Source organism: Homo sapiens, chromosome 11 (assembly GCF_000001405.40).
Source record: "Homo sapiens chromosome 11, GRCh38.p14 Primary Assembly".
Taxonomy (NCBI): domain Eukaryota; kingdom Metazoa; phylum Chordata; class Mammalia; order Primates; family Hominidae; genus Homo; species Homo sapiens.
In genome coordinates, this window is record NC_000011.10 from 96,235,341 (window position 1) to 96,256,581 (window position 21,241).

Sequence of the window (21,241 nt, forward strand, 5' to 3'; positions counted from 1 at the left end):
AAGGACAGAGCTGAGTAGTTGAGTAGCTGCCAATAGTCATATGGTCCACAAAGCCTAAAATATGTACCCTCTGGCTCTTAATAGAACAAGTTTGCTGACCCCTGATCTAGAGGAATGATTTCCCTCTTCTATTATTCTTTTGAACTGAAAGTCAGGAGACCTTGATTTTAGACTCACTCCATCCTGCCAGTAAACTTCTATGTGACTTTGGGCCAGTAATTACTTTCCTCAGGTTTGGTTTCTTATTTGTAAAGTAAGGAGGGCTGGCCCTGGTGATCATCTATTCCTTATTAATTCTCTTTAAATGTCTGTGTTCTAAGGGGATTGAGACCTCTCAATTTTTAAAAGGAGTTTATTTTTAAAAGGAATCCAAATCAATTAAAAAAGGCATCTTTCTTTTTGTAAGATGTACACTTTCTTTTTCAATGTAAACCAGGGTTTTACACTGAAACACTTCACATTATTTCAAGCATTCAGTACCGAGTAAAACCCCTTGCTGCTGTATCACAGTCATACCAGAAAGCTGCGGGTTAGAGCTGGAGAGAGAACTATAAACAGCAGTAAAATCTGTTTTAGACAAGGCAGCACATCTGCCCACTGCACCCCCTTCCCAAGAAATGCATTGCATCACTTGTGCCAGAGATGAATGCTCTTTTCTGTCATGTTTTGGTAAGTGAGTGCTCTACCTCCTCTGTCGCTCTGGGACCCTGAGGGAAATGACAGGAGTCATCCCACTGAAGGAGCACTTTGAATTCATGACAAAGGCGAAACTTTCTTTTTTCAATAGAAATGGGGCTGCTCACTGTCAAAAACTTCTGTGCCACTGGCATATGCAGCATTACACAACTTCTTTCTAGACATATGACATAAAGCTGCCAAATTAAAGAAATGATAGTATAGCAAGAATTGTCTCCTCTCTTCCAAAATCTTCACAACAGCAAAGAATCTTTTGCAATTGCTACTTGACAGAATAAAAGATTTGAGATATTATGTTATCTTAAAAACAAAATCACCTACGGAGCTTTAAATAGAGATCAGAAAATGCACTAGACCTCAGTTCTAATAACTATTATTTTAAAACCCGAAAGTCTGTATCTTTCAAATAAACATTTTTTTCCCACATTCTTTCTGCCTGGAAAATAAAGGTATTTTGGGGTATCTTTGAGTCTCTGAGCCAGAAATCATTCGTTCTTAGTCTCCATAGTAGGAGACTTTGAATAGAAATATGCATACGTGGAATTTAGAAAGCACCATGAATGCGTACTCACTTTAAAATGTTAGATTTTAAAACAGAAAGGAGAGTCTATCAAATGAAGCCGCTTGAGAGTTTTTATAAAACCCAAAGAGAATATATATTAACATATAACATTGTTATATGTCATCAATCTGGAGGGTTGATAATAACATTGATATCTGGATGTTATCAACCCTACAGATAACATTCAGAGCTTGGTTACTGTCTTCTTAGTAAATATCTATGGTATACTGAGCTCTCTGCCTTTACCACATATTATATAGTTTGGCTGGCAGCTTTGTTTTCAATAAGTGCTTTTCTTTGCAAGAAAAAGATGCTAGTGAGTGCCATCTATCATTTCTGCTAGATCATCTTCCAAAATCCCAAAGAACAGCACTGTCTGCTTTTCTCTTTCTGACAGAGAAACCTCTGAACTGGATGCTAATATTTTGCAGACCAAGCATGAGCCAAAATGGATTAAAAAATCTAAGCTGGCATATCTGCATCAGTCTAAGCAGTTTCAAAGGAAGAACTGCAATGTTAAGCTGATTATTGTAGCTATGGTTCTCCCTTGTCCGGTCCCCTCCCCGAGTTCTGTATTTTATAGTAATTTACCTTCTCTTCTTGGCCAGTCAGTATTCTTCTCATCCTCTCAGATCCTGCTTAAGTCCCATCTCTGTGATCACACTTCTCTCTCGCCCTCACAAAGCTTTGAACATAGAAGGGGCTTATAAAAATTGTTGGTTTGTTTTGAAAGTCTTCCTGGATGACCTCAGCCCATGTTGATCTCTACCTTCCTTAACTCCTTTGAGACTTACTGCCTATCGCACAATTAACACCTTATTATCCTTGGCTCTAATAGCCTGTACCACATAATACATTTCATTTCTTCTTTATAATTGTTTCACAGGAGTTGATTTTCTAACTCCAATTAAATTGTCACCTCCCGATAAGTGAAGCTGTGTTTCCATAATATCTAAACAAACTGTTAGGCACATAGTGGACATCCAAAAAATATTTATTTTTCAATCTATAGCAGCTTTCACATTGCTTGAAAGATTTGATAGTTGTGTCACAGGCAACTGCAGACCAAACTTTTATTCATTAATGTAATATGTAATTGTCGTGTATTGAATCTGGCTGTGGATACAACACATTCGGAAAACTACATAATCTTTTATGCACGCCTACTTTCTTCAAGGCTCACAGATTTCCAGAGTTTACACCTTGCTCATTGTTTAGAATGTGATGCAATGAAAGGAATCTGCTAAGCTAATGTTTATTTTAACAAACACTTTGTTTGAATGCATCCTGACAACTCAAGCATCTGTTTTAACTAGAAACATCAACTGAGCTGACTTACTACATTGATAAAATTTGAAAAATTGCTCAATATTCTGCTTTGTTCTGCCTGTATGGACAAAGTCTAATGCTTTCCGTGCCACCAAATTAGTACTTAAGTGGTTAAAGTAACCAAAGGAGCTTTTGTATACTCTATGCCAGCTGGTGTTCTAAAGAGAATTAGACCTGAAATACCCAGCTCTCAGGACAAGCAATTAGTACAGAGCTTTAGTTGTTTAGTTGGGGGTTTCATTAATATGGAAGAGACAATAAAACTGCCATTTACACTATTACAGAGTCTGATTTAAGCATTTCATGCTAGGACACCTCACATATGAAATCAGTGAAGGGCTTGTATAAAGGAGGAGAGCAATATTAAGCTCATCAGACACAAAACAAAACTGAGCCAAGGTGTATCTGTGTTATGTTTCAAGTCAAATAACACATTCTTTACTTGCAAGTGAGACAAGATTTATTTTTCCTTAAGTGGCTAACCTCTGGAAATAATTTGTGAGACCAGAGAAAAAGAACCCAATTTTGAATGAAATTTCTGCTGTGAGTCCAAACTTTGCTGTCTCTACTGCAGCATTCCCATGATTGCTATGGTTTTCACTTTGCAAACTCCCTCACAATGACATTTAGGTTTAGCTCCTGGATCGATAACTTTTTTCCAAAGTTTGATCCCATTGTAGCTATTATCGCTGCAGACAAAACTTCCTTTATTGATATGATATGTAGAAGTGGGTTTACTAAGGTTTAATGAGCCAGAAATTACTAGAAGAGCTATGTAGAGGCATGTGAGCTTATTCAAGTGTCTGGTATGAACAGAGCTTGTCAGATAAATAATGTGTTTACAAAATGGGGTAGAACATTATTGAGTCACTGATGAAATATAGTTGATGGAAGCTTCTTGGAGAAACAGAACTAAGCAAGAGAGAATTTAAAAAGGGATTTGTTGAAGGATCAGTGTCCAAAGGAGTAAGTAGCCACTTTGGGTTTCAGAAGTCTGTGGAGAAAATAGAAAATGAAGAGGTATTCTGGCCAAAGTCCAAGTAATAAGCAAGCTGTGACACCAGGATTGAACCTAAGATTAGGCACAAGCTTGCCAGCTAGGGAAAAGACAGGTTGAAACAACTACAGCTGCAACCAAAGATGGGAATCACACTAACATTTTAAAGTCAGAATTGGTCCATTAAATACTCACTTTCCTAAACTTTAACATGATGATACAACAGATCCCAATCCTTCTGGCTGCCATAAAGTAAATGTGGTGCTGTTCTCTAAATGGCTGTTATATAGTGTTAGGTTTGAATGATTTAATACTTGGGAGGAGACAGAAAAAGCTCTAGGTTCCAGCCCACTGAGGTGGCTTTTCTTTCCTTCCTTGAGTGATGGCAGTAGAAGAGACGGAAGTGAATAGCTGTTGACCCCTATTGGAGGCTGTACCTGCCAATACCAGCACTTCTCTCAGGAAGCTTAGAAGAGACTGATAGAAAGCCTATGGCTATTTTCGTCAATTTCAGAGTAAAGGCAGATTCCTAGGACGAAATCAAGAATGTTCAGAGTTTGAGTTGTCCTAAAAACTGAGGCTGGAATGTGATTATGCTTTTTTCATGATTCAGAGTTTCTAAATTACTGTGAATTGATGTATCTTGAGTTTATGTTTTTGAATTCAAAGTACAGGCGAATCAAGAAAAAAAAAAGTAGAAAGAAACCTTGGTTTCAAATTTGGGGGCTACCATTTACTAACTGTCCACTTGGAGTTTCCATTTGGAGTCTATTGTATCATTAGGACATAGAATAATAGCACCCATGTCATAGAGCAGCAGTGGTGGTCATGTCCCAGAGTAGAATGAATGTTGGTCAATAATGTAGGTATATTAGTAAGTTCTCAAACATTTGTTAGTATTCTTCACCCCCTGACCCCTTTCTCCCAGCCACTATGACACAGTTGTGGTGACCTGTCCATGTCTTCTTAACATTTCTGAGCTGGACTATTCCCATTGGCAAATTAGGGAAACAATTGATTCTGAATAGGGTGGCTGTAGAGATCATTGAGATTAAGGGAATTTTTCTTATAGGCTTCATAGGCATCATCATCAGTTACAGTCTATGAGAATATATTAACTAATAACTTTTTTCTTTGTGGCTATTACAGCACTTCAATTTAGAAGCTACATTCAAAGACAAAAGCTAAACAAAAGCTAAGGGTCTGTGTCTTAGAATGCTAAATCACCATTAAAATAAACCATTTCAAAAACTCAATTAGCTGTTCAATTTTATACTGTGATTATTCTTTCTCCAGGTTTTTCCTGACATACAAAAAATAGAAAATTTGGTTTGTTTTTTCCATATTAAGAAAGCTGATGTCACGCCTGTAATCCCAGCACTTTGGGAGGCCGAGGCGGGTGGATCACGAGGTCAGGAGATCGAGACCATCCTGGCTAACAAGGTGAAACCCCGTCTCTACTAAAAATACAAAAAATTAGCCGGGCGCGGTGGCGGGCGCCTGTAGTCCCAGCTACTCGGGAGGCTGAGGCAGGAGAATGGCGTGAACCCCGGGAGGCAGAGCTTGCAGTGAGCCGAGATTGCGCCACTGCAGTCCGCAGTCCGGCCTGGGCGACAGAGCGAGACTCCGTCTCAAAAAAAAAAAAAAAAAAAAAAAAAAGAAAGCTGATGAACTGTCTGTGTCAGTGTTATATATTTAGTGGGCTTATTATTATTTTTGCAATGCATTGGCACAGCTCAATTTTAAATGCAATTACCACATTATAATCTTGGCAAGACCCACTGTTCCAAATAATTCTCTGATGTACAAATTAGTCTTCCTACTAAATGAAAACTGCCAGCAGAAAGGTACTATTACAGTATATAAAAATGAAAAGTCTCATTGAAGTACGGAATAACTATAAATTTCATTTCAGAAGCATATACTATATACACACAAACTTAAAAAAGTTATAATTAAGATGTCTAATTCTCCTGAAATAGCACTCAAATATATAATAATTCCCTGTAGGGTATGTAGGCAGTCTGGATCAAACAGCATCTCCCTATGCTGTGAACTAGAAACACTACTAGACTAATAGGTTGAACTATTTCTTCTGCTATTTTTCCAGAATATGAAGATAAACAGCAATTGAAGTGTCATCAGAAGATTCTGCAATTATTTTTTGATCACCAACACCATCGGCTGTTGTGAGGTAGAGTTTTTATTATAGTATATATTTACAAATGTCTTCAACAACTTACAGTATTTTCACTAGTTCTGCCACACAGTAGTACCATACATTGTCTTCTCAGCATCAAAGATTTAGTGCTTTAGCAGAGAAACCAACTCTGAAATGAGGACTTTGAGACTGGCTTTTATTTCCTACTAGGTGGTCCTTCTGGGAAGATCAGTGCACAGCTTCTCTTTCCAACATCTACTAAAAAATCCTTTTGAAACAATGTGGGAGGCTGACGACTATTCCCCTATTGCAGTGGTCCTTGACAGGGGGTGATTTGGCCCCCCAGGAGACATTTGGCAATGTCTGGAGATATTTTTAACTTTTGTAACTGGAGGGAGGGGTCTACTGGCACCTAGTGGGTAGAGGCCAGAGATGCTGGTAAATATCTTATAATGCACAGGACAGCCCCATACAAAAAGGACTTAGTCCAGAAAGAAAATAGTGCCACGGGTAAGAAACCTTGCCCTATTGGCTTCTCTGTCAACATAACAGGTATTGCCTGTGAACATTTGTTGCCAGAGTGAGTGTCCCTGGGACAGTGTTGATTGCGGAAGTCAACAGAGGAGGAGAATTTAAGTCCTCCACTTCCTGCTGGGCTCTCATAAAACGATGCAAACCAATGGGCCCTTGGTTTGTTTTAGGTTAGACTTGTGGAAGTTTTCGAAATTCTAGTTTTGCTCTGTTCAATCATTTTAGAAAATATCTAAGTATCGTTCTGGTTTGAATTAGTTTGTTTGGTCTATTTTTGAACATATTTTGCTTCAGTTACAACATTAATATTTGGGTTTTATTCAGTTCAGGGTTCAGCAAATTAGCAAAATTACAGCTTTGGGTTATGGTTACTTGTTATATATCTTTGCATGAGAGCCCATGCAAGTGTGATTGGAGCAGAAAGCTAAGGTTCATCACAACCATGGCCACTAGAGCTTTCTATGATCCAAGGAAGTTAATTCACTTTTTTACTTTGTTTCTCAAGAGGATTCAACAATGCAAGCACCAAACCAAGTGGATGCCCCTCTTTCTGTTGCTTGGTTTAAAATTAAAACCCTTGATGAATAAAGTGATTTATTTCATATTATATTTATGAAAAGGTAGAGCACTCTCAATGTTTTGAGTATTCCTGAAACTGTTTACTTAATTATACAATGAGAAACAAGACAGGAAAAAACTTCATAAAAATCACTAGGGATTTTAAAAAAATGCCCATGTACTCTTATTTTGCAATGGCTCTGGTTGTGAAATCATCAGACTGAAAAATACTGGAGGAGTGGTGAGGGTGGATTTTAGTGACAAGATTTCCTTAAGGCTGTAAATAAACCAGATTCAGTAAGAGAAACAGAGATGGCAGTTTTCATCATAAAAGGGGGAAAACATTTTCCAGTTGAATTATAGGTACAGCACAAAACAGTTGTTCCGTTTTTAAAAACTTTAGTTTCTGCAGGCTGAAACAGAGCATTTCATTTGGCTCAGTTCATGAAAGCCATCTGCACCTGCTCACGAAACAGCTTAAAGAGAAAAAAAAAGTGTGCACCAAGGATTTTAACTTACACAGACAATAAGGGATAGACTCTGGCACTCAAGCACTGAAAAAGCAGGAGCATGATAAAGGGGAAAGGATCATAATTTTATGAAGTGCCAATAAATAATAACCCCAAATCAGCTTACAGCATCACTTAGGTTTACCTGTGGAAGCTACACTTGCCTGTTCTGGTTGCATGTTTAAAAGTTAAGCAATTAAACCTCAATTATATAGGTTTTTCTTTTATGTAGCCTAGGGTTGAATGCATTACTGGCAGGAAACTTTAGCTCATGAATTCAATCAAAAATCCTTTCATTTGTCAGAACTGCTTCCTGCTGCCTCCTTTAAACATCTGCTTCTCCAGTTCAGGGACACACACACACACACATACACATACACACACACCCCCTCTTTGTTAAAATAATAAGCAATCTACCAACTTCCCTTGCAAAAGTTACATTCTCTCTTACACACACACACACTTGTTCCCAGTAGAGTTTATTTAATGTGTCTTTTATAGCTTCCTTGTCCTTCTCTCTTCCTTTCCGCTTTTAAATTCTGGAAAACCTCAAGCTGACAAAAGAAGACATTTTAAAAATGCGAGGATAAGGCCCGGCCGGCCTCCAGACCAATGAGAAGGAAGCAGAGCAAGGAGGCGGGGGAGGCGGGGTTGGCTGTCGGGAATTGCCTGCACTCCTTAAACGGCAGGCACTTCCTGCTAGAGGAGGCCAGCTCTGAACAGACAGAAATCGGGTGGAAAGCTAGCAGGAGGCGTTGCTCAAGTTCAAAACAATCTGTGCGTGTCCAGGCACGCGCGGAGCCAGACCCCAGCCGCGCGGCTCAGACCTCGCGAGAGCCATCACCTGAGAAATCCACAGCCTTTTCTCATCAGGCTTAGACTGTTTTTCCCATACCTCCAAGAAGGAAGACCCACATGTTAAAACTATGAGAAAAGCTGAAAGTGCCTTCTGAACAGTCATCCTTCTTTTTCTTTTTTTTTTTTTTTTGAGACGGAGTCTCGCTTTGTCGCCCAGGCTGGAGTGCAGTGGCGCGATGTTGTCTCACTGCAAGCTCCGCCTCCCAGGTTCATGCCATTCTCCTGCCTCAGCCTTCCGAGTAGCTGGGACTACAGGCGCACGCCACCACGCCTGGCTAATTTTTTGTATTTTTAGTAGAGAAAGGGTTTCACCGTGTTAGTCAGGATGGTTTGTCGTGATCCGCCCATCTTGGCCTCCCAAAGTGCTGGGATTACTGGCGTGAGCCACCGCGCCCGGCCCAGTCATCCTTCTTTAACCACGACATAGGTACTCAGGTCCGCTGGCCTTCCTCTGCACTGATGGACTTTTCTTTGTGAAACTGATTCAGAGGCGGACCTCAAGTGGCTTATTCCTTCGCCTAAAAATCGTGCTGCTTTTTCCTCTAGTGAAGTCTGGAGTACAAATTAATAAAAACTTGGGGCTGTGCGGCCTAATGGCTCAAACCGTGTTCCAGATGTTTTGAAATATTATTACCCCTTTTGAGAGCCTCAGTGTCTCCCTGGAGGGTAAGACATCTGCCTTAAGGGCACTTACCAAGAAACTACAAACATTTGACTGCACACAACAATGGTATCTTAATAAGACAAGGTGCTTAATACAACTGGCTGCCCTATTATGACGTGTAAGAACGTTTTCATATGTAAGCTATGCTTGCAATTCTATAAGTAGATAAGGAAGCTTGTGGTTGTTACACTTCTAATATATGGATAGAAGAGCTTAAACTCTAATGATTAGAAAATTACTGGTATTCTGAAGTGTATTACAATCAATGCATTCATGATATCTACACGTTGTAATTATTCATCCTTAAATTAAAAATGGTTTATATGGTTATAGCCATATATATCGATTATTGTTTTATTATATTAATAATAGCTAACATTTCTGAGCACTATGTGCCAATTATAACACAAAGTTCTTTACATGCATTATTTCATTTCACCCCTACGACTCTACAGAACTATGATTACATTGAAGAAACAGAGGTTTGTATCATTCATTTGCTATAGGCCAGGGAGTGAGTTAACAAAGCTGTGACTTGAACCCAGCACCTGGACTCTCAGAGCAATCACACACTATTCAACCATCCACCCATTCATCCATCTATCCGTCTGTCTGTCCATCCATGCATCCAATCACCCACACACCCATGCCATCCAACATGAAATGTGTATTATTTGGAAAGACACAGTCATAAGATGTGCACAAAATACTTAAAAAAAGGATCTATTTTGTCCACCTGAAACAAAAGGAACATGCTGTATCTTAAAATGTCAGATGTTAGATGTGAGATTATACATCCATACTGAACTGTAGAAACAATGAATAATACAAGCAAAACCAAAAAAGCCAATGCAACTGATATCAACAAGAAATTCAATACTCCTCTGACATACAAAATATAATACTCAGTGTATCTCTCAAAAGACAATTTTTCTTTGAATTTTCCAAATAATTTGCAAAAATTAATTCAGGGAGCCTTCAGGAAAGTGCCTTCCGAACAGTCATCCTTCTTTTTTTTTTTTTTTTTTTCCAAAACAAAACATGCTTAGCATGCACACTTTTACCACTTTTTTCGAGTGGAAAGTTTATTGGCAATATTAAATTTCACCCTAGATAGGATATGAGAATGTTTTGATAAATCACAATTTATAGTATATTAATGCCATGTGAGAATTTTGTTTCCCAAGTAAGAGCTCACATGGAACTTGGTCATTAAACCTTAAAGAAACCTTTCTCACATATCTATAGGCCTCAAATTGAAATAATCTATAAATGAATTTGTAGATTTCTTTTTAGTTTAATTCCTGAGTATACAGGGCAAAAGCTTATATCCTTTATATAAACTTCTGCTTTGGTCTAAAACTGATATATCTTCACGTTGAGGTTTCATCTGAAATGCACCACGTTTGCTGACTTGCTTCAATATGAATTTGTATGGCTATGAAATTGTGCCCTAACTCAAGCTATTTCTATGTTCACCTGAATCACACCCATACCTAATTTTTTTTTTTTTTTTTTAGACAGAGTCTCACTCTGTTGCCCAGGCTGGAGTGCAGCGGTGCGATCTCGGCTCACTGCAACCTCTGCCTCCGGGGTTCAAGCAATTCTCCTGCCTCAGCCTCCTGAGTAGCTGGGATTACAGGTGTGCGCCACCACATCTGGCTAATTTTTGTATTTTTAGTAGAGACGGGGTTTCACCATGTTGGTCAGCCTGGTTTCGAACTCCTGACCTCGTGATCTGCCCCCCTCGACCTCCCAAAGTGCTGGGATTACAGGTGTGAGCCACTGTGCCCAGCTGCTTAATTCTTTATATTTCACATTCAACAAAAACGTGGAGGCTTATCATGTGCTAGGTACTATGCTAGGCACTGGGGACACAAAGCAACATGAAACATGGTCCCTATGCTGGAAAGAGTTACAGACTTGTGAAAGAGACCAACAGGTAAATACATCCTAAGAACTGGATAAGTGACAAAAATGAAGCATAGGGACTCATAAGAAAGTTTGTTGAGACTCATAAGAAAGAGTGATTAACTCAGGGAAAGTCATTTCCTCTACAGAGCATATCATTCATCCCTTCAACAGGCATTTTTTGGATTCTGAAGTATAAGGAGGTGTTTATAAGTAGAAAAGGCAAAAGAACATCATATGCAAATCCCTGAAGTTCTGAAAGGGATTTCATGTTCGGGGACATGGTTGAACTACATACAAAATGCTATGGAAGCACAAGGCATCATCAAGCACAGTGATTGCTTCTGCCTGGGGTGTCAAGGAGGGCGTCAGAGAGGAGATGGCATGCGATCTACCTCCTCAACATATCCAAAAACTCTGTTTGTAAACTGATAATTCTGAAAGCCATTTCAGGTACACTACAGATTAAGTGCTCAATCTCTTTAGTATAAAACCAGTGAGAAGACTCCTGCATTGTTTCAGTCAAAGTATGAATGGAGTCAAATGTCTGAATTATTTGGTGACAAACAATGAACTGTTCCCACATGCACAGTAGAGACAGTTCAGGCTGCACTTACTGCAGTATCATACCCAGGATTGTAGTTACCCATGTTGACTGTTCAATGTAATATATACAGTTTGAGGTTGGCTCTGAGGAAACCGTTGTGGACACACACAGCATTTGTCAATTACGAATGGAGAACCACCTCCCTCAGACCAGTAGTTCTCACAGTCTCCTCACCCTGTCTCTATTGTTAATGCCAAGTGAAACAAGGACATAATTCATACTCCAGTTGCCTTTCTTTTCATGTGTGGCATGATCAAAAGAATAATTATACAGAGAGGAATTCTGCAGACAAAAATTGCGTGTGATCCTCCTTACATAAGGACCTTAGTGTGTTGCTGGAAACTGTCTGATTCATTCTGTTGACTGGCAGCTTCAGGTTACAAGCAGAGAACAGAGAGCCCTCATTAATGTCTTTCTAGCCTCAAATATGGAGTCAGCTCAACACACACATTTAGTCTTGACAAGTATATATCAGATTCAGACCATGCAAAAAAAAAATAAGTAAACCTTCAGAAATAGTTTGATCACCTCTAAGGAAAGAGGGCACAGACAGCTCAGTTAAGTGACTCTAGAGAAACAGTTTGGAGAATTTGCTAAGAATTCTGAGATAGCAGTTCAGTGGACGAAAAAATGTCACTATGCTTTCAAGTTCCCACACACTCTTGCTTAACATCTTATATCCCCACCCCAACCCACAAGCATAAAGCCTAGATCAGAAAGAAAAAGGTCAAACTTCCTATGGGAAAAATTTAGCATTTTTTACCAGAATGATAGATTGGCATCTGCTTTCCAATCAATTTTACCCTGTTTAAATACAACTTTGTCCACTTTGCAGACGCCCACTGCCACTGCCCCTGCCCCTGTCCCTGCTAGGCAGAAGATGGTGAAGAAAAACAAACTCAGCATCGTTAGTCTCACTGGAAATTCTGGACCACTAACCTCAAATGGGCCAATGGTGCTATACCCATTCTAGCACATTCTTCTGGTTCCATTAACTCTTTCATTCTCCTACATGACTACTTCACACCTTTTCCTCTCTCTTCTAAACCTCCAGCACCTTCTTCCCAATTCTTACTCCCAGTTGCTGGATGAACTTGATTCCTATTTCACTGAGAAAATAGAAACAATCAGCACACCAACAACCTTCCACCAACACATCTGACCACTTAACTGATATGTATACCCACCTTCACCAATATGATAGTCCCTACTGTTGAATACTTGAAAACTGGCTAGTTCAAACTGAAATGTGCTGTTAGTGTAAAATGTACTGGATTTTGAAAATTAAATTTTCCCATTAATGGTTTTATATTCACTACATATTTTAATAATAATTTGTACATATTGGGTTAAATGAAATCATTAAAATTAACTTCACCTGTTTTTTTACTTTTTTTTTTTTTTTTTGAGACAGTCTGGCTCTGTTGCCCAGGCAACAGAGTGCAGTGGCATGATCTCCGCTCACTGCAGCCTCCATCTCCTAGGTTCAAGCGATTCTCCTACCTCAGCCTCCCGGGTAGCTGGGACTACAGGCACCTGCCACCATGCCTGGCTAATTTTGTATTTTTAGTAGAGGCGGGGTTTCATCATTTTGGCCAGACTAGTCTCCAACTCCTGACCTCAAGTGATCCATCCACCTTGGCCTCCCAAAGTGCTGAGATTACAGGTGTGAGCCACCATGCCTGGCGTGTTTTACTTTTTAATGTGGCTACTAGAAAATTTACATTGTCTTTGTGGCTCACATTACACTTAATTGGACAGGGCTACTTTTATTCTCTGCTATTACTACACTGTTACTGGAGATGAAACTACCCTCTCCCTATGCATTAGAACCCCCTCCTCTTTCCCACCCAGGGACTTCACCCCAGCAATTCTCCCTGCTTTCTCCTTTTTCATTGATTTCCCCCTCTAATTGGATCATTCTCATCTGCATACAAACATGCCACTGTATTTTTTATTTTAAAAATACAAAAAAAAATCTTGACTACATGTCATAGTTCAGTTCCCACCTTATTTCTTTATACTAGAACTCCTTAAAAATGTCTGTACTCACTGTCTCCAATTCTCATTTCATTTCTTATGGATCTACTCCAATCTCCACCACTCCTACAAAATGGCTCCTGTTAAGGTGGTGTGTGGCGCAACTAGCAGAAGCTAATTGTTAAATATTCAAGAACTTTGCAAGCTGGTTGTTAAACTGTTTGTAGCTGGAAATTGACTATGATGGGAATATTTCCACAGGGAAATTTAGTAAACACTACAAATCAGGATTTTGCTGTTGTCACTGCTTTTCAGAGAGCCAGTTTACCAGGACACCACTGATTGAAAGTCACCAATGACTTTCACCTGACTCAGTGATCAATTACAGTCTTCAGCTTAACTAATTTATTGGCAGTATTTGACAACAAACTCTTTATCTGACAAATAAACTCTTCCTCCTTCTTAAGTTCTTTCTTCACTAGCCTTTTGGGGCACTATTTTCTCTTATGTTCTCTCCCTCACTTCTCCTCTGTCTCCTTTCTGCTTCCACTTCATCTTTCCGACCTCTAGATATTGGAGTGTTAGCACTCTGTTCAAACGCCTCTTCTTTTCTTTAGCTATACTTCTGCTCCAGGTGTTTTCTTTCAGCCTTCTAGCCTTAAATACATAAATGTACACTTTTAAGCCAGCCCTTGCGCATGAATTCCAGCTTACTTATTCCCCTGACTACTTGGCCTCTCCGCTTGGATGTCTAATAGGCATGTCAAACTAAAATGTCCAAAATGAAACTTCAGTTCTCTCGCCTCTTCTTTCCTCAGTAACCAAAAATGACACTCCAACAATATCCCTCCAGCTCAATAAATGGCAGTTCTAGCTGCACGAGTCACACATTTTGAGTGATCCTTGGTTCAGTTCTTTCTTTGACACCCTACATCCAACGTATTGGCACTACTCTTGGCTCTGACTTTAAAATATATCTAAAATCCACACTTTTCCCCACTTTTACTGCTACTAGCTTGCTAGTAGCTAGTAACTAGCTCCAAGCAACCATCACTTCCAACTTGTGCAACTATGCAATAAACTATGCAACATATCTCCATACAATGTAGACCCAGAGTAAGCCTATAAAAATGAGCTAGATCTTCTTATACTTCTGCTTAAAACACTTTGCTGCCTGTCTTACTTAGAATAAGACCAAATCTTCGTATTGGTCTACAGAGCCCTACAAGGTGTTCCTGCTACCTCTCAGAACTCATCTCCCATCACTCCCACCTAGTTTACTCTGGTCCTGCTAGAGCCTCCCTGCAATTCGCTCAGAGACTTTGCACTTGCTATTCCCTCTACCTGAGAACTCGTTATCCAGACAGTTTCACGGCTCGCTCCTTTACTTCCTGCAGGCCCGCTCTGCATGAAATTAATCCCCTCCATGGCACTTATCACCCTATGGCACACTACAGTATTACCTGTTTATGAGTATACATCCATCTAGGCTTGGTAGACAAATTATCTGCTTTTCTTTTTTATTTAAAAAAATGTTTAAAATTTAAAAATTTTTTATTCTTAAAATTTTATTTTTTAAATTGAAAAAAATGTACATATTCATGAGGTACATAGTGATGTTTCAATACATATAATCATAGTGCTCTGATCAAGATAATTAGCACATCCATCATTTCAAACATTTATCATTTATTTGTGTTGGGAACATACACTATCCGCCTTCTAGCTAGTTGAAACAATATATTATTGTTTGCTATAGTCATCCTACAGTGCTAAAGAACACTAGAATTTATTCCTCCTATCTAGCTGTAATTTTGTATCATTTAATAAATATCTCCCTATCCCTTTATATCTAGCAGTTAGAAGAGTAGTGCTTGGTCCATAGTGAAAGCTCAGTAAATTTTGAATGAATGAATATATTGATGTCACACCAGCAGCTCTGGAGCATGAAGGAAGCTACTATCACCTTCTCTTCTGTGTAAAGCATTAAGTGATAGACACATTTTAAAATGACAAGTGTTCAATTTCTCTGCCAGGCTGTCCTTGCATACAGACTAAATAGGGAGGCTTTTTGGACTGGCAAAACAATTAAATACGACTTGATTCAGGATTAATAGTAACTTATTTGGTGATAATGACATTACAAACTCTTTTCTTCATATTGCAAAAAGAGGATTTCTCCATCTTGAAAGCCTCTTAATTTCATACTTGGAGGACCTGCAGGAAGAACTATAATTGAAACAACTGAAAGTATCCCTTAGGACATTGGCTTTGGTTGATTTGTGGAGTGATGGTAAGGGGTGAGGGAGAAGAGGGAGCAATAAAACAAATGCCAAAGTTTTTAGCAATTTTATATCGCTAGCAATAAAGTAGTCTTTACAATTACATACACATAACAATAACTGTTTCCACCCCGCCATCCCTCATTCTCTTCTGCCATTGATGTTGCCCAAAAACTGAGGCTGAAGTTACCCAGTGAAAATCATGTCCCGCAAAATGTTGTCTTTTACTAAAGATGGTAGAGTACAGGCATGAGGCCTCTCATCCCTAGAATTTTCATGGAGGTAGCTGTGTTTCAGATATCTCTGTAGCTAGAATTCACAGCATGTGCTATGAATCACACATGATTGGTGATCTACGGTACCATTTTTTTTCTCTAAGGTATTGGGATAATTAGATAGGTAGGCCTGAGTTTTAATTATGTCTTATAACATTTTTTATGGGAAAGTGTATTGTGAGATTCAAATTCTTGTTTTATAACTGAATTTTGGAAGACAGAACTTATGTAAGTAAATTGGAAACTCTGGAAACTGCCTGTATTGTTATTAGTAGTAAGTAGGATTACTAAATTTAGAGTTCTAGCTAAGCCCAAAAGACAGGTATGTTTTAACCTTCTATGGTAGTAGGAATAATAAGCAGTGATTATCCCTTTTAATTTTCCAAACATGTTATGAGGTGTTAGAGGTTCCATCCATGGTGGAATGTTGGAGAAGCATCAACAGAAAAAAAGAGGCCCACAAATACAAACCCTTTTTTTTTTTTTTTTGAGACGGAGTCTCACTCTGTCACCCAGGCTGGAGTGCAGTGACGCGATCTTGGCTCACTGCAACCTCCGCCTCCCAGGTTCACGCCATTCTCCTGCCTCAGCCTCCCGAGTAGCTGGGACTACAGGCGCCGGCCACCACGCACAGCTAATTTTTTTGTATTTTTAGTAGAGACGGGGTTTCACCATGTTAGCCAGGATGGTCTTGATCTCCTGACCTCATGATCTGCCCGCCTCAGCCTCCCAAAGTGCTGGGATTACAGGCATGAGCCACCGCGCCCAGTCAATACAAACCCTTTCAACACCAGACGGAGTAGCAAAGACACTCCTGGTTGTATGGCCTGGCTAATTTCCAATTGGGTCTAAATACTTTTTCCCATAAAATTACACTCGTTATGCTGTTGGGAAATATGTGCTTCTCTCTCTCTACACACACACACACACACACCCCACACACACACAGACATGTACAATAGAAAATGAAGTCAACCAACATTAAGTTCTGAAAATGTACTACACATTTTGCTGAGTTCTCTATATAAATAACAGTGAATAGTTACCTTCTACATGTGTCAAGTATTTCACATGCATTATATCTAATCCTCACAATAATGAAAGCAAACCCTTATGTGATGTTTTGTGCAAGGCATTGTTCTCAGCGCTTTACCTTGACTAACTCTTTTTTTTTTTTTTTTTTTGACCTGGAGTCTCGCTCTGTCACGAGGCTGGAGTGCAGTGGAGCGATCTCTGCTCACTGCAACTTCTGCCTCCCGGGTTCAAACAATTCTCCTGCCTCAGCCTCCCAAGTAGCTGGGACTACAGGCGCGTGTCACCATGCCTGGCTAATTTTTGTATGTTTAGTAGAGACGGGGTTTCACCATGTTGGCCAGGATGGTCTCAACATGACAGGCTTATGAGGCAGGAGGCAGACACTAACATCACTGCTATCTTCAGATGAGGCACCTGAGGCAAGAGAAGTTAGATGAGACTTGTCCAAGGTCATATCAGGTGTAAACAGCTCACCTAGGTTTTAAGCATAAGCAGTCTGGCTTCAGTCATGTTCTTACACAGCCACATCTTGCTGCCTTTTACACAACAACCTATGAGAAAAGCAGTTTAATTGTCTCCATTTTCCTGACGAAGAACTGCATAAAGTCCCTTGCCTGGTTAAAGGGCGTAATGGGATCCCATCTCAGGGTGCTGACATGAAAGTGTGGGTTCTCACAAAACAGCCTCCCACTATAATATCGTGTCTCTTTAAACAAATACTTGGTTTCACAAAGTCAAGTGGCATGCCTTAAAATTCTTTTGCATAATCCCCCTCGCACAGAAATACCCAAGGCTCTGCATATAGTAGAGCCTATAGTAGAGCTCAACAGAGGAAAGAGATTCACACAGATTGATTTTGCATCATATGTAAATAGGAGCCAAAAAAACCCTTCAACACCACAGCTTCCCTTTATTCTGAGAAAACTCCAAGGAAAACTGACTTTGATTTTCTAAATCATCTTTTGATTTACTCTAGTAGAGGAAAATCAATGCTAAAATAACTATTGAAAGCCATCTGAGATGTGCTGCTCTAACATGACAATGCCAAGGAATATAGACATTAAATTGATCTTGGAATCCAAGCTCCCCTTCCTTACTCAACACAAGACGAAATCACAAAATCCATATGGAGGAGAAATCTTCCTATCTAGACTGTAGGACTTGTCATTTACTCAAAACAGAATATCTCCCATGCCATCTTGTTTACGAAGCAGCTAATGTTGTTACTTCTGTACTCAAGTGAGTGCTGCCTCTTTGTAATATTGATTGCTGGGATTTTTGCTGGTAGTACACTGACAGAGATCGACCACTAAAATCTTCTGAGGCGCATTTATCTTTCTCTTTGAGAGAGAAACCCCATTTTCCTCAAGAAAAGGCAAAGCTGTTCCAGCACATGTTTTAAATGATTCATATTATCTGACAATGGAAAGGTAAATTCTCTCCCAGGATTTAGGGTATAATTCTCAGCCATCTGAGAATTCTGTTTATCCCACCTTGTCTCCTTGCTCAGAGAATTACAATTAGATGGAAACATCTAATGTCAAGGCATCTGATAGCTCCAGCATAGGATACTGTGACTGCTCCAGATAGATTTTCTCCATGAAAACCAAAGTTGATGGTTAATTACCATGTCCCCTTCTCATTATGGCACTATCAGACATATTTAAGGAAGTGATGAGAAGTCTTTGCAAAGGTATATAAGAATAAATACAATACACTGAAGGTATCACTTACACTTTCTTTAAAGGTAAGAATTTGTGAGACTTCTGGGAGAATTTTGACAGGTCCTATTAGAGGTATTTTAAAACACACAGGGGAAAGTGATTTGATGTTAAGCAGTGGCAAATCTACACAAAAACAAAAACAGTCATCGGAGACTTTCACTCAATACAAAGTTCTACCAGACCTATGCAAATAGTAATCGCATTTTCTAGAAAGAGTTCTAAAGTAAGTCACACACACAAACCTCAGTAGTAGCACAAAACATCCTTTGTTGCCGGACGTGAGAAAAACACACTCGCTTCTAAAAAAAGCCATAGGAAGGAAGTGGAAGAACCTCAGGGGCGAGTGGGAGTGCGAAAGGAATGTTGCAGCTCTTTTTTTTTTTTTTTTTGAACATGTAAGCTTGCTGTGGCTCTTAATAGTAGGGCTAGTAGTTCAAGTAAGTGAAGTAAAATCTTTGGGATCTTTTTTACCTATTCTTGTAAGTGTACTATCAGCCAAATAGGTTTGAAAATCTTGACAAAAGGACGTTGATATTCTGGCTTTACATTGCCCCATTCTAAAAACAAAACAAAACAAAACAAAAAAAAAACTCTTTTAAAAAGCAAAATCAAAAGAACTCAAACACCTGCATATGATTCTAATTTCACACATCTCAAAACAACCAAGATTGCCAAAAGAAGAATTAAAAGTCGTTCCAGAGCAAAGATGGGTAAGCAAAGCAATGTGCTGAAATTTTTGCAATGTAACAAAATGGAATATATTTGTCAGAGGCAGAGGATAAATTGAGGGCTCCTTTTTTTATTTTTTATTTATTTTTTGAGACAGGGTCTCACTGTGTCACCCAGGCTGGAGTGCATGGCGCAATCACAGCTGACTACAGCCTCTCCCAGGCTCAGGTGATTCTCTCACCTCAGCCTCCCGAGCAGCTGGGACTACAGGCGAGTGCCACCACACCCAGCTAAAATTTTTTTGGCATTTTTTTTTTAGAGGTGGGGTTTCCCCAAGTTGCCCATGCTGGTCCGGAACTCCTGGGCTCAAGCGATCCGCCCACCGCCTGCCATGGCCTCCCAGAGTGCTGGGATTACAGGCGCAAGTTACCACACCCAGCCTGAGGGCTCTTTTGAAAACACAAATATGATCATGTCACTTCCCTGCATAAAATCCTTTAATACCTTCTCACTGTGCTAAGGATAAAGACAAAATTATCAATATGGCTTACAAAGCTCTTCATGAACTGTTCGTTGCATAACTGTCAAGCATCATGTTAGAGCTCATATTGATTGAATGCTGATTACTGACTGAGCATAGAAACTATTTCAGTGAATCTTGTAACAACCTTTTCAGGTGTTATCCCCATTTTACAGAAGAGGAACTGGGAAGTTGAGTTACTTGCCTAAGATTATAAAGCTAGAAAGTGGTTATGTCAAACACTGTTGAGGAAATCAACACACATTCCCAATCCCCTCTCACTTGCTGCCTCCATTGTTAGGGGTGGACGATCTATTTTCTCACTTTCACATTTTTCCTGGTTATTTGGGTTGTGTTCTGGCCTATGACACCCAGGTAGAATTCCAACAGAAGATTTCTGAGAAGCTTTGAACTTTCCTGATAAAATAACCTGACACTGCACATCGTCCCCCTTCTTCCTCAACGGGCCATTGTGCCTGGGGCTGCAGCCGCCATTTCCAGATGAGGGAATGACAAAGCCACAGGCTACGAATGCAGAGCAGAAGACAGAAAGAACCTGGATCTGTGATGACCTCATCATGCCCTGTATCAGCCCTGGACAGCTTATTGCTTATTGTCGGACTTTTTGTTTTGTGGAGATAATTTCCCCCCACCGCCTTTTTTTTTTTTTTTTTTTTTTTTTGAGACAGAGTTTTGCTCTTGTTGCCCAGGCTGAAGTGCAATGGCGCGATCTTGGCTTACTGCAACCTCTGCCTCCCGGGTTCAAGCGATTCTCCTCCCTCAGCTTCCCGAGTAGCTGGGATTACAAGCGCCCGCCACCACACCCAGCTAATTTCTGTATTTTTAGTAGAGACGGGGTTTCACCACTGTGGCCAGGCTGGTCTCGAACTCCTGACCTCAGGTGATCCACCCGCCTCGGCCTCCCAAAGTAGTGGGATTACAGGTGTGACCCACCGCACCTGGCCAATTTCCCCTTTTTATATGAACCTCAGTAAGGTAGGCTTTCTGTTCTTTGGATGCCACAAAAAAAAATTCTTAACCGATACAGCTAGGAAGTCAGGATTCCAACTTGAAACTCTGATTCCAGAGCCCGTGAGCTGAATTCCATTCCTCCCTGTTTCTCTCTTTCTTTTGCTCTCTTTGCTACACTGCAGCACATCAGTGGCCACGCTGATCTCGAAGTTCCTCAAACGACCACATTTCTTCCTGCCCCACACACAGCCTTTGCTCTTCCCTCTGCCTGAGGAATCTTCTAATTATCCTTCAGATCTCAGCTTAAATACTGAGATACTTAGCCATGTCAGTATTAAATGGAACCTAAATATTTCCCCCTATACATGGGTTCATAGGAATCTGTATTTGTTCTCTGAGCC

The 21,241-nt window shown here is 39.8% G+C and overlaps 1 protein-coding gene across 1 annotated transcript in view, besides 1 other annotated feature; it reads right to left on the reverse strand.

The window, feature by feature from the left end:
- Nucleotides 1–21,241, reverse strand: part of MAML2 (mastermind like transcriptional coactivator 2) — a 366,598-nt gene that overhangs the window by 258,743 nt on the left and 86,614 nt on the right. The gene's annotated exons all lie outside the window — the stretch shown is intronic.
- Nucleotides 8,207–8,356: an enhancer, noted in NCBI's record as "active region_5423". NCBI's record gives its function as "activates an Ori minimal core promoter by ATAC-STARR-seq in GM12878 lymphoblastoid cells {active_cell/tissue: GM12878}" and the evidence as "EXISTENCE:reporter gene assay evidence [ECO:0000049][PMID:35858748]".